Raw genomic sequence first — 14151 nt, forward strand, 5'->3', positions numbered from 1 at the left:
AATACTGGGGGAATCCTTGCAGTATATATTTGCCATGAGATTGCAGGGTTCTTACCCCTAGGGTCTTGGCCACCTCCTATCAGTGAATTTTGGATTTGAAAATTGGCTCAGTTCTGGAAACTGAACAAGAATCATGACTTTTAATTGAGGCAACTGCTCCTTCATTCTTTGCTTTTCTTTTTTTTTTTTTTTTTTTTTAGGTTTGTAATATGACCTTTATTGAGCTTATCCACCAGAGTGGAAATAATGTCTGTACAAAACCAAATGTTTGTTACTCTAACTTCTGCATCACAATTAAAATCCAAACAGTTTTTCAAAAACAGTCCACTCAATCAAAACCCACTACTTCAGAATCAATAGCTTCTTTGAAGCCACAGTAATACTTAAATATGGTTAAGACTGGAATGCAGAAATTTGGTTGGTTGGAAAGCTAATTAAACTTCCAGATTGCTCACATAGAATTTCAAAAAGGCAAAATTGTGTTTTTTACAGAGATGCAGTCCACTGGAATCCGCAACACTGGACAGCTGGCAGAGTATTTAGAGTCCTGAGATATCAAGGAATCCAGGCAGCCTTTAGACAGTCTTCTGTTGTCCTTTCTTCCCAGTCAGAGATTTGTGGATGTGTGGAATGACACCACCACCAGCAATCGTAGCCTTGATGAGAGAATCCAATTCTTCATCTCCACGGATAGCAAGTTGCAAGTGACCAGTGGTACTACGCTTTACCTTTAAGTCTTTGGATGCATTTCCTGCCAGTTCAAGTACCTCTGCGGTGAGGTACTTCAGGATGGCTGCGCTGTACACAGCGGCAGTCGCGCCCACACGTCCATGATTGGTCGTCCTAGATTTCAGGTGTAGATGAATACGCCCAACTGGGAACTGCAAGCCGGCTCTCTGGCAGCGGGAAACCGCCTTTGTCTTGGCCTTTCCGGAGTCCTTCCCAGCCTTACCGCCAGTCATTTCGAATTCTGCTGAAGCTCAAGCAAGGCAGAGAAAGGGCTAATCAGACCCATGGCGAGACTCCTTCGTCCCACCGCGATTCAAACTGCCCATTCTTATCTTTTTTGATTGTAGCTGTTAAGCCGATAGCTCGCGGTAGGGAAGGATGGGCCTTCTCTACAAGCCGAGAAGGCTCAGGGAGCTTCAGTCAATAGCTTCAGAAGTATCCATCCAGATATTTCCACCCATGTTGAAGGGCCCCAGGCTTTTCCTACAAGGGTTCTATCTTTTGCGTAACAGACCTTCCTTAGTTCAGCATCTAAAACCTCTTAACAATTAGCTCCTTAACCTGCCAATCGCCTGAAAGTAGGGAGGAATCGAGGGGAGGCTAGAAGAGCGGAAAGACCGTGAAGGAAGGTTAGGTGAAAGGGTCTAAAAGTGCAGTCCCAAATCCAAGTTTGGCAAGGCCGACAGAGTGCTTGAGTCAAGGTTGCTCCTTACAGCAGTCCTGTCTCCTGTTGGGTCTGCCTTGGTATCCCTGCCACATTTTATTTATTTATTTATTTATTTAGAGACAGAGTCTCACTCCGACACCCAGGCTGGAGTGCAGTGGCGTCATCTCGGCTCACTGCAACTTCCGCCTCTCCGGTTTAAGCGATTCTCCTGCCTCAGCCTCCGGAGCAGCTGGGACTACAGGCGCGCGCCACTATGCCCTGCGTAGAGACGGAGTTTCATCATGTTGGCCAGGCTGGTCTCAAATTCCTGACCTCAGGTGATCCGCCCGCCTCGGCCTCCAGAAGTGTTGGGATTACAGGCGTGAGCCACCGCGCCCAGATGATTTGGCTTCTTAATCACGCATCCAGAGGTGCTGGCTGGCTCCTGAGCCGGGAGACATCTGTGGGAAACTTCGCTTGCTTCTTGACGTTACTCACTGCTTGCCATTCAGCTTTCCAGGGGCTACAAAATGAGTCACCACCCTTTTATCAGCTTTCAACTTACATTTTGTTGCTGTTGTTTCATCTCCTATTATCCTTGTCCTTGTGGGTTTATGCCTTTATAAAAAGGCATTTGGGCCAGGCGCGGTGGCTCATGCTTATAATCCCAGCACTTTGTGAGGCCGAGGCGGGTGGATCACTTGAGGCTGGGAGTTTAAGACCAGCCTGGGCAACATAGTGAAACCTTTCCGTCTCTACAAAATGTAAAAAATTAGCTGGGCTAGGACTACGCCTGTAGTCCTAGCTACTCAGGAGACTGAGGTGGAAGGATCATTTGAGCCCAGGAGTTCGTGGATGTAGTGGCTATGGTTATGCCACTGCACTCCAGCCTGGGTGACAGAGATCCTGTGTGTGAAAAAAAAAAAAAAAAAAAGGCATTTGGCTGGGTGCAGTGGCTCATGTCTATAATCCCAGCACTTTGGGAGGCCGAGGTGGGCAGATCACTTGAGGTCAAGAGTTCGAGACCAGCCTGGCCAACACGGTAAAACCCCATCTCTACTACAGATACAAAAATTAGCTGGCTGTTGTGGTGCACACTTCTAGTCCTAGCTACTTGGGAGGCTGAGGCAGGAAAATCGCATGAACCTGAGAGACAGAGGTTGCAGTGAGCCGAGATCACACCACTGCACTCCAGCCTGGGCCACAGAGTGAGACTCTGTCTCAAAAAAAAAAAAAAAAAAAAAAAAAGGCATTTGTGTTAGTGGGATATGGGAGGGAGATGAGGTAGTCATGGGTTCAATCCTCCATTCTAACTGACCTCTTTAATAGGCTATTAACTGATTTCCCTGGACTTTTTAAAAAAAAAAATTTGGCCCCGTGTGGTATTTCATTTTTAAAATTTATTTTAACTTTTTGTTGTTGTTGTTGAGACTGAGTTTTGCTCCTGTTGCCCAGGCTAGAATGCAGTGGCATAATCTCAGCTCACTGCAACCTCTGCCTCCTGGGTTCAAGCGATTCTCCTGCCTCAGCCTCCCGAGTAGCTGGGATTACAGGCACGCGCCACCACACCCGGCTGATTTTATTTATTTTTTTTTTTTGTGGAGACAGGGTTTCACCATGTGGGCCAGGCTGGTCTCGAACTCCTGACCTCAGGCGATCCGCTTGCTTCGGCCCCCCAAAGTGCTGGGATTACAGGTGTGAGACGCTGCGCCAAGCCATAATTATTTTTTAAATTGAGACATTTCTCCACATAGTTGCTGGCCTTTTGAAAACAAAAGTTAGGTCCTATTACTCCCTTTTAAAAACTCTCCAGGCCAGGTGTGGTGGCTCATGCCTGTAGTCCCAGCACTTTGGGAAGCCAAGGGCCGGGGGGGGTGGATTATCTGAGGTCAGGAGTTCGAGACCAGCCTGACCAACATGGAGAAACCCCATCTCTACCAAAAATACAAAATTAGCGGGGCGTGGTGGCACATGCTTCTAATCCCAGCTACTCAGGTGTCTGAGGCAGGAAAATTGCTTGAACCTGGGAGGTGGAGGTTGCAATGAGCCCAGATTGCGCCATTGCACTCCAGCCTGGGCAACAAAAGCGAAACTCCGTCTCAAAACAAAAAAAACAAAAACGAAAACAAACAGAAACTCTCCACTGGCTTCCATACTTAGAATAAGAACCAAGTTCCTTGCTTTGGTCCTTGAGACCTTGGATGATCTGGCCCCAGGCTGCGTTTTGGCCCTCGCCTCCTGAGGTTGCCCCTCAAGTGTCTTTCTAACCACACACTGGCTTCACCGTCCTTCAGACATCACAAGTTGGTTTTGTCTCCTGACCTTTGTACCTGCTGTTTGTTCTACCTGGAACACACCTCCCAGTTTCTTCCATATCAGGCTCCCTCACTTTCTGATCTCTGACCAAATGATGAAAGGGTCAATGCATCAGAAGGGCATGTAACTGTTATATTGGTACTGTCTATGTGCCAAATAGTGTTTCAAAGTACAAAAGCAGAGATAATATACTTAAAGGGAGAAAGAGACCTCAGTAACTGATAACAAACCAGATTAAAAATTAGTAAGGAACCACTTATATTCTGTCTACAAGGTTGGAAGTTAAAGGATGAATAAAGATACAACCTGCAAAATGAATCCAGCTTTAGCATGTCTATGTGCATTTCGGACAAAGAAAACAAGGCAAGGAAGCTTACCAGAGACAGTGTGGGGCATTATATAAAAGAGCCAGTTTGTCTTGAGAAACGTATATGCTCCTAATAACATAGCTTCTGAGTGAAGTAGCAAAAATCAACAGAAGTGAGAAAAATTCCAAACCATAATCGGAGACTTTGTTAGCATTAGTAGACAAAATGTGTAGGATGCTGCTAAAAGCTGTAAAGAGGACGTATAGCCTTGAAATTTATACAGTAGGAAAAAAAAAAAAAGGTTGAAAAATTTATACATTCTCAAGAAGTTAGAAAAAAACCTACCAAGATAAACCCAAAGTAAACACAAGCTAGGAAAAAAAATTGGTTCAAATATGCAGTAGGTGGAATAGACAGGTTTAAAAAGTAAGAGGAGACATTCTGAAGAATTAAACTGGAGGCCAGACAACTCTAGCCATATGGCTTCAGTCATGAGTTCTACCCAAAATACAAAGAAATACCTATCTTACCAAACTTACACATTTATTCCAGGTGCCAAAGAATGTTCATTTCCACCATAGTCCATGGAAGTTATTTGTGGCTATTACTAACCTCTTTTTTGCCAAATCAATAAATGAAAAATAGCATCTCCTTACTATTTTTGTTTGCAACTTATTATGATGTTCAACACCTAATATTAGCCATTTTTCACTTTCAGTATTTCATCTTTTTTGCTCATTTTCCTTTTTTCATTTTTAACTTTGTATTTTAATATTACTGTTATACATTATATTTGGTGAGTCTACAGTATATATGATTTATGTATATGTAGAATATTAGAATATTTTTGGTAGAATATTATATATATTACATATTAGATTTATATGTATACACATATATAATATATAAATAAATCTAATATAATCTTATATATAATAAATCTAATACTTATACACACACAAATATATGTATATTTACTTATCCATTTCTTAATAACTTGTTTTTCAAAAGATGTTTCCACTTTTCTGATAATGCAAACATAACCTTCTAGCAATTTTACATTTATGTTTAACCCTTGATCCATTTGGCATTTGTTAATATCGTGGGGTAGGGAGTTAAGCTTGGTATTTCACTCAAATGTGACCAACTGTCTCAACACCATTTTTTTTTAGAACAATGATTCTGTGAATTAGAAATGAAATCTGTCATATATTGATTTTATATTTACACAGCAATCTGTCTCTGGGCTCTTTTTCAAAGAGTATTTATTCCTATCTGTGTTAAGTAAAGGAATAAATAAAGAGTATTTATTCCTACCTGTGTTAAGTATTTTATACCACAAATCAATAGATTATAAAATGTTTTGTTAGAAGTCCCACATCTTCCAAATTTCTCATTATTATCATACATTTTTTCTTCCAAATGCATCTTACTTCTTTTTCTTGATAGGGATTGTCATGAATTTCGGGAAAGAATGAATGGTCTTATATTTGGGTCTTTCTGGGTTGATAGCATGTCTCCATTTTTTAAAATCTACATCTTTTGATTAACCTTTAGTTTTCTTCACAAAGCTCTGTGACACTTCCTGTTAGATGTAATTCCACTTAATAAGCATTGTATTATTTTGTTATTGTGAATGGGCATCTTTTAAAGATACGATTTCAAAATTAGTGTGGATAGATTACATTGATTTTTGTATAGTCTAGCCATCTTACAGAGCTTTTCTATTCATTCCAAAAGCAGGGCAAAACCAAAAACCCAAAAACCTTTCGGGTTTTCCCATAATCAAGTTGTCAAAAATGTTTTCTGTCTATTCTCGTATTAGTACTTTATTTCTTAGTCTTGGTAGTGGGGCTCCTTGTTTTGTTGACTTTAATTAATACTTTTAGTTCACCATTAAGATGTTTCATTGGGAATGCCATCAGATAACTTTAAATATATTTATGACATTTACTTTTCCTAGCTTTATTTTTTAAAAATGAATGAGAGCTAACGTTTGTCCTACACAAATTTATCAAATGGCACTCATTGTTAATCATGTTTATTTCTTCCTTTAATCTGTTAAAATAGTTAATAGCATTGATATAGTTTTCTAATCATTTTTTGGGGGATCTTTTAAAAATACAATTCCAGGTTGTATTTCCTAATATTTCACATAGTTTATGATCTAGGTTTCAGGTACTGTACTTGTACTGCTTATCAACTATTAAACCATTATGGATATTCTAATGCATGATACGACCTTCCTAAGCCAGTCAGAAGTCCACATTATTCTTGTAAATGTGTCTGGAGATTTGGGAGTGGAAGGTGGAACAGTATGGTGATGAGTCATCTAGGACTGAATGGAACTAGATGTGGCTTATATTTGCCATTAAGTTATTAGATAATCCTTTATTTCAAATGTAAAAATTTATAAAATGGGTTATTGGAAGAATTAAATGTTAAGGTGCTGTCAACAGTGTCAACTACCATATAAATATAATAAATTATTAAATTACAAGGTCTTTTTAAATGCAATTATGAAAGAAGATACAATATAAACACATTAAAATCTCTAAAGCCATGTAAAACCCGAAGGCATTAAAATTTATTAAATGATGCAATAACAACAGAATTCTTTATTTACAATAGCATTATTTAACATCAAATAAGCAAATAGCATCAGCAAAGCAATATTAACTTGCATAAATGTATTTAAAATTTCTCTGAATATATCTACCTTTGCATAAACTGCTCACACTAGAAATACAAACATCAATGCAGGTGAACAAAGTGATGTTCAGAGTCAACTCCATTTTGAAAATAAATCACAACCTGAAACACTGTAAGCTTTCTCCTGAAGAACCATAGTTAATATATTGCTTAATTTTACCCTTGTATAATCTTTTCATATACACACATCTCAGATGCAACTTCATGAGGAACTGTACAAATAAAACTCACAAATGACAAAGGAAAAAAATGACAGTTAAATGTCTGAAGAAATGTATCATCATCACTATTCAAACAACATAAAGGTTAAGTGATGATGCACTTATTCAAAAATTGTACACAATTCACTATACAAATATAATACATCGGACAGCTATGTAGGAATATACAAGACTTAAAAACAGATCTAAGGCATTATGCTAGATTTTAGCATTTTGAGGTTCTTGCACATAGCTTTTACCTGTAGTAAGAAACTTAAAAGATTTTGCTTTAGTCTATAAAGAAACACCAGGGAGAAAATTCTAATTAAAATCGAAGCCACTACAGTAATTTTCTTTTGTGCAGAGGATGCTTTGCTCTTAGGCAGCATACCACCATACAAACACTAGAAAATTTTAAATTCACACCAACAATTAATGGCTTAAGTTGCATTTCAAAACTGATTGTGTATCTTTGGGTTCTGCAAGTGGATCTGTGCCACCCATTTCATGTGTTAAGCCCATATGAACTCCATTTTTGAACACAGATTAAAAATTGCATTATATAAACTGCAAAAACATTGCTTTCAATTATTACAGGCCATAAGAGATACACATAGGGGGAGGGGCATTTTAATCTTTGAGTCAAACGAATTCATTGTAGTAAAACAGCTCACTTCACTTTTTAAACTTACCACATTACATGAACACTTAAAATGAGTTTTACAACCAAGTTAATGTATGTATACTTTTCACATTATGTTTTTCACATTTAGTAATATAAGTGAAACACTGATTATTTGTTCTATTAAACAAAAACCAAGTACTCAGTCTAACAAATTTATTGTGTACAGCATGAGAAATACTGATAATGAAGGGAACTGATTTGGCTTTTGCTTCTATAGTGATCAATATGATCAGAGGATTCCTTCACTTACTTTTCTTCTCCTAACTAGATGTAAAACAAAATCCATTACCTGATTGAAACCGTAAGAGAATTTATCATCTCTTTTCCTTCAAAACAGCAATGATCACGAATTATTATAAATTACCAGTATCATGAAGTTGCGGATTTGTCTGAATTAGGATTGACATTAAAATACAGCGGGCAGATGGATAAAAAAGAAGAGATAGGTAGATAGTTTTGGACGGTGTTGTAGTGAAAAGGGACTTGAAACTCAAAACAAAACAAATCCAGTTTAAACTCCATTTCTCTTTTGTGCTGTGTGAAGTTAAAAGTCATTCTAATTCACATATTTCTGAACATTAAAACTGGTCACACTGAATTGTATGCCACATGAGCCTCAGCCCACGGGGAGGTCCTGGAGTTCTGGGCCAACATCTGCTTGTTTTTTCCATCACAGTTGGGCAACCCAATGGTTTGGTGGAGAAAAGTAGAGCCTTTTGAGGGGATATATGAACTGGTGGCCACTGAGAAGTGTTGTTCCTTGGCCACCTCCCTGTATTGAGACCCCTCTCAAGTGGAAAAAAGTAGCGAAATGCAAATTTCCAGAAAGGTTCTTTAGTATGGAGCAACATTTTCAGACTGTCTACTTACCATCTATCTTTGGGCTATATCTCTTCCTATATTTCCATAATGCGTACATATAGAGAGAGATATAAGTATAAATAGGGGTAGTTTGTACATTTTTCACCCTGCCACAAATAAACAAACAATCAAATTTCAAGGAAAAACTTCTCTGTTCCTAAAAAGCCTGGCTAATGAGATATTATAAAATGCTTTGCTTTTTAGACATCAAAAAGATATCATTCTGAAATTTAGGTAAGAAAGGTATTAGGGGTTAAGGAGAAATAGCTCAAAAAAGGTCATCAGTTTCTTGGTATTGGAGTTGTCTGAAACTGACACCTATTAATAAAAGATTTTTCCCCTACCAGAGTGGGCAAGAAAAACAACCATAAAAGTGGCCTGCTTAGTAACATGTAGTCTTTCTAAGGTTCATTAAGAAAGAATATAAACATATAAAAATCAAGAATTGGTTCCTACAGCGGCTGCATATCATATAGATTAGATAAATGACTTATAAGCAGAATCACAAGGTTTAGAAAATAAAAAGTCTTAAGTCTACAAATTAGGTCTAATCAAGGCATTGATATCCTTTACAAAACACCTTTAGGAGACATTGCTATGAAGATATCTAATTTAATACTGAAGTACCTCATTTTTGAGTCAATTCCACAATATGTATACCTCACAAAAATTATACAATTAAAACACATAAGTTCTCAACTTAAATTATTGCTTGTTTACATATAAATTGGATTTTATGTACCTTACAAAACTTCGGCTTAGTCAGCACTGCTAAAAAACAAAATAAAAAACACATGGCAGAGGTTAAATCTGTCGTGATATCTGCTATCAATTTAAACACACTGGCGTTTTCTCCCATTTTGGAGGCCAGAGTTGCTGGGGAACAGAATAAACATGCTTCCAAAGCAGGTATCCTTAGCTCGATTGGTATCAAGCCTTAACTTTGCTCTTCTCCTTGCCAGTAAATGCATTTTTTTTTTCTGAAATTCAATACTTAGCAATTGGTAAGTGGCTGGCAAAACATTTAAGGAAATAAAGGGCTTACCTGGTTTCTGTAGCTTATATTATTTTTTAAAAAAGGAATGAAAATAGGGAGTATGGGGAATGAGAGAGGGGAAGGGAAGAGTCAGGCTGACAGGGAAGAAGAGATGCTGATTCAAGCTGTCTGATCAAACTAAAAGGGACTTAATTTAGAAATGAAAATTATTTCTTCTCAATTCATGATTCAGGTGAACCAGTTTGGTTTTAACAAAGAAAAAACAAGGAAAAAATATTTGCTAATGTTAACAGCCCTCTCACAGGCTCCTTTTCATCTGTTCAGTAACTGGAGACTCTTTCCAACATGGTCTTTAGAGCTTTCTAGAGATACGACTGTGACTTTGTTGGTCTTCACGCACTGGGTGTGTCTGTAAATACAGCGCTGTCCACGGTGTCTGTCCTGCTTCCATCCCAAATTCAGGCTTTAGCTTAAAACATCTTTAGTTTAATTTTTTAAAAAATTCTTTTCTTTCCCCCAGATAAAATCTTAATCTTTTGCACTAGACTGTTAGCCAGGGAAAACAAAGCAAGAAACCAGTGTCTGGAACCGAACAGGAACAGAACAAGAGCATGGTTCTCCTTAAATACATACATTTAAATACATTCAATCTGACATGGGTATGAAATTTGCCTGTCAACATTTACTTTTGCAGGAGAGATCTAAGTTGCACTAAGGTGAATGCAGTGAACAGACTGAGCGACTGTCTGGATGCGAGCTTCAGACTGTCAAGAGAAGAGGCAGCTCCTCCTGCCACAGCCGAGTGGACGCCACCCTGGGAACCAGGGCCAGGCCTGTCTGCTCTAGCAGAACCGGCTGGCAGGTCAGTTGGGTTGAAACAAATAGACACAGCTCTCCAGACTGGAAGTGTTTTGAGCAAGTGAGCCCGGTCAGCTGAAGAAGCAACTGGCTTCAGCAGTGTCAGCAATATTTCTGTAGGAAAACAGATAAAAAGTTGTGAAACATCTTTGAGGTTTTGAAAAAAACATCATAAAGCCCACCACAAAAACATCAAAATTCCTGACTGTTTTCAATAAAGCAAATCACAGAGGCCGCATCTGGATGAGTACATTCGATGTGGAGGTGAACAGGCAGAGGGCGCCATTCCTCCCTCCACACAACGCTTCCAGGAGCCAAGGAGGAGCCCAGCGAATCCTACATGCTATTTCTCGCAGGCCATCGTCTGCAAATGGATGATGAATCTCTCCTTAATGACCGCTCTCCAACCAACAACATCCTAGCTCAATTTCATTTCTCCCACCTTCAATAAAGATGACAGAACAATTCACCCAGCTGCTTTTTGGCAGCATCCGATCCAGAAGGGGCCACTGCTTCCTAATTCTTCCTCAAATTCATCCAGTACAAACCCTTCTTCTATAAAATGGCCCTCCTGATTTTCCCTAATCAGATACTCCCAAGGTTCTCTGGGTGTGTTCTCCCTGGCTTCAGCAAGCTAGATCATGATGGGTTTTGACTCCTGGGGTTTTGTATTTTTAGTAGAGATGGGGTTTCACCATGTTGGCCAGGTTGGTCTCAAACTCCTGACCTCAAGTGATCTGCCCGCCTTGGCCTCTCAAAATGCTGGGATTACAGGTGTGAGGCACTGCACCCGGCCTCTTGGGGTGTTCTTGCTGGTTTTTGGCTGCTATGTGCTGATGATGTGAATGACTGAATACCAAAGGTTATAGTGAGCAAATTATGTGGCGTTGTTTCTTTGGTTGGTGCAAATATATCTGTCAATGATTTTCTTTGGCTACCGACTATCTTCCTTCCAAAAGTTTTCATTCACTTAGCAAATATTAATTCAGCATCTATTACATGCTAGGTGCTGGGATATATCCACAACAAGACATTCTTGGTCACTGCTATCACAAAAATTGCCCGACTAGGCAAGGCTGACAACACTGGAGATTATAATTGTACCTTGCTACAAATCAAATTATTACAAATAACAACATGATCTGAGTTTGGTTAGTGGAAATACTGTCTGCTTTGGGAACAATTGCTTCTGGGATTTAGATATTTAGACACAGAATTCTAGCCCATCAGGGCCATTAGAAATTATCTAATTTAAGTAAGATTAGAGAGGAAGCCAGCTCCAAATAATCTATTTTACCTTAGCACTCCAAAAAGAGAGTTCTGGGGAAAGTATTGCCAGATCATGAGTTCTAGTGGCCAAAGGTGGAATTACATTAGCCCCTGATCAGGTGCACAATTCTCCTAAGCTTAAAAAATGAGCTTAGAATACCTGTGATTTTACTTCTCAGAGAAGAACATTTAGCATACTTTATAATATAAAGCTGAATAGATATGTATTCCTAACTTGTGTCACTTTTATGATTTCATATAAAAACACTCCATGGTGCTGATTAAAATATGAAAAACCCTCAATTTTCCAGTTAGTCTAGAAAAAGTCTACTGAGAAGTATTTATTTATTTATTTATTTATTTATTTTTGAGACGGAGTTTCGCTCTTGTTGCCCAGGCTGGAGTTCAATGGTACGATCTCGGCTCACTGCAACCTCTGCCTCCCAGGTTAAAGCAATTCTCCTGCCTCAGCCTCCCGGAGAAGTATTTATACCTATTGCGTTTCTGAGGCTTAGAAACTTTGTAAGGCAGTATTCTCTGGCATGGACTAACATCAATGAGCAGCCACCGGCCAGAATCAGTTTGATGAAGGAGAATGCTGTGCTCCGCACACACCTCTGGAGTCATGCTGCCTGGGGTGTACCCTGGCTGTGTCACTTTAGGGGTGGGGTCCATTACGTACCTAATACTTCTAGGATGGTTGTAAGGATTAAACAAAATGATGCACATGAAGTGTTTAAATAGTTCTTGGAACATCATAAGTGCTCAGTAAATGTCATCACCACTATCACCATCATCATCAACTAAAAGCCGACCCTATTAGTAATCAATTTTCATAACACTAGTAAATACAAGTAATTACAAGAGAACCATGCTGCTGAGCAGTAAACTCAATTTTAATCTATTTAAATATATCTAAAATATAAAGAAATACTGTAAGTTCTTATAAAAGGAAGAATCTTCTGGTTAGGTCAAATAACTGCCCTTCTCTAAATATATATTTTTGGTAAGTCAACGGTTGTACATACTAGCTCTGCTTAAAGCAAGGTACCATTATAATTTCCAATTCAAGATAAATGGAACAGTCAATTAAAAATGGATGACAGGGCCAGGCGCAGTGGCTCACACCTGTAATCCCAGCACTTTGGGAGGCCGAGGCAGGCAGATCATGAGGTTAGGAGATCGAGACCATCCTGGCTAACACGGTGAAACCCCGTCTCTACTAAAAATACAAAAAAATTAGCCGGGCGTGGTGGAGGGTGCCTGTAGTCCCAGCTACTAGGGAGGCTGAGGAAGGAGAATGGCATGAACCTGGGAGGCGGAGCTTGCAGTGAGCCGAGATTGCGCCACTGCACTCCAGCCTGGGCGACAAAGCGAGACTCTGTCTTAAAAAAAAAAAAAAAAAAAAAGGATGACAGTAGTATCTTGTTCAACAAATAGAACCAAGTTACCAATAACAATTCTGGAAAAGAGCAGGGCACAGTGGCTCACGCCTGTAATCCCAGCACTTCGGGAGGCCGAGGCAGGCGGATCATTTGAGGTCAGGAGTTTGAGAGCAGCCTGGCCAACATGGTGAGACCCTGTCTCTACTAAAAATACAAAAATTAGCTGGGTGTGGTGGCATGGGCCTGTAATCCAGCTACTTGGGAAGTGGAGGCAGGAGATTCGCTTGAACCTGGGAGACAGAGGCTGCAGTGAGCTAAGATCGCGCCACTGCACTCTAGCCTGGTCGACACAGAGTCCGTCTCAAAAAAAAAAAAAATTCTGGAAAAAGCTCCTTGATTCATAACAGCAGCAGAGCTTATTACGGAAACACGGGATGATGACTGAACCCCTGTCAATGTGCACATAAGTAGCACAGTGACAAATCCAAGTAACTTCCGGTTATTTCTGATGAATGAAAAGGGATATCCTATACAGATTATTCTCTAAAGCAAATGAGTCTCTATGACGGACTGTTCTCTGGCCTTAACAATCAGCATGAAGAAAGTGCAGGTGGATGAGGCAGATTCAAGAGGGGGACTAGAAAAAAACAGGGAAAGTTGACGAGGTTATCAGTGGCCTGAGCAAGATGGTAACAGAGAGGTGCTGTGTCGCCCAGGCTGGAGTGCAGTGGCTGTTCACAGGTGTAGTCATAGCTCATTGCAGCCTAGAACTCCTGGCCTCAAGCCACCTGAGTAGCTGTGACTACAAGCGTGCCACCCACTGTGCCTCACCTGAAAGACGCCTTTGCTGGGAAGAGAGAACATCCTATATTTACTGAAAATTGATGTCTTACATCCTAACACTACTCTTTCCATTTTGGGTTTAAAGGGCCCCCATGGGCCACCAGGATGCACGTGAAGGTGAACCCCTGGTCCTGCCAGCCTGCCGTGTGGCCCGCACCACAGGGCTGGTTGCAGGCCTACCCCTAAACCCCCAGCCGGGCACTTTCTACCTTGATTGGTCTGGGTCACCAGTTCTCTAAGTCTTCAGACTAGCTGGTAGCCCTGCATAAATTATCTCATCCTCTGAGATTCAGTCTCATCTGAAATGGTGGGGAACCTTAAATACCTACGAAGGGCCTGGCA

General features: G+C 39.9%; 1 protein-coding gene and 1 pseudogene across 49 annotated transcripts in view, besides 1 other annotated feature; both read right to left on the reverse strand.

Annotated features, from left to right (window-relative positions):
* On the reverse strand, positions 202-1051 carry H2AZP2 (H2A.Z histone pseudogene 2; annotated as a pseudogene).
* Positions 1692-2199: an enhancer, noted in NCBI's record as "H3K27ac-H3K4me1 hESC enhancer chr8:71017144-71017651 (GRCh37/hg19 assembly coordinates)". NCBI's record gives its function as "activates a minimal SCP1, AML or CMV promoter by ChIP-STARR-seq in naive H9 embryonic stem cells {active_cell/tissue: H9 hESC(naive)}" and the evidence as "EXISTENCE:reporter gene assay evidence [ECO:0000049][PMID:30033119]".
* The window catches only part of NCOA2 (nuclear receptor coactivator 2), a 346665-nt gene continuing 339078 nt past the window's right edge, over positions 6565-14151 (reverse strand). For all 49 annotated transcript variants that reach the window (XM_047421240.1, XM_047421258.1, XM_047421256.1 and 46 more), the window contains one exon: positions 6565-10426. In XM_047421240.1, coding sequence (XP_047277196.1) covers positions 10415-10426 — 12 coding nt within the window. In that variant the 3' untranslated portion in view covers positions 6565-10414. The remainder of the gene's footprint in view (positions 10427-14151) is intronic.

This window comes from Homo sapiens, chromosome 8 (genome assembly GCF_000001405.40).
Source record: "Homo sapiens chromosome 8, GRCh38.p14 Primary Assembly".
NCBI lineage: Eukaryota > Metazoa > Chordata > Mammalia > Primates > Hominidae > Homo > Homo sapiens.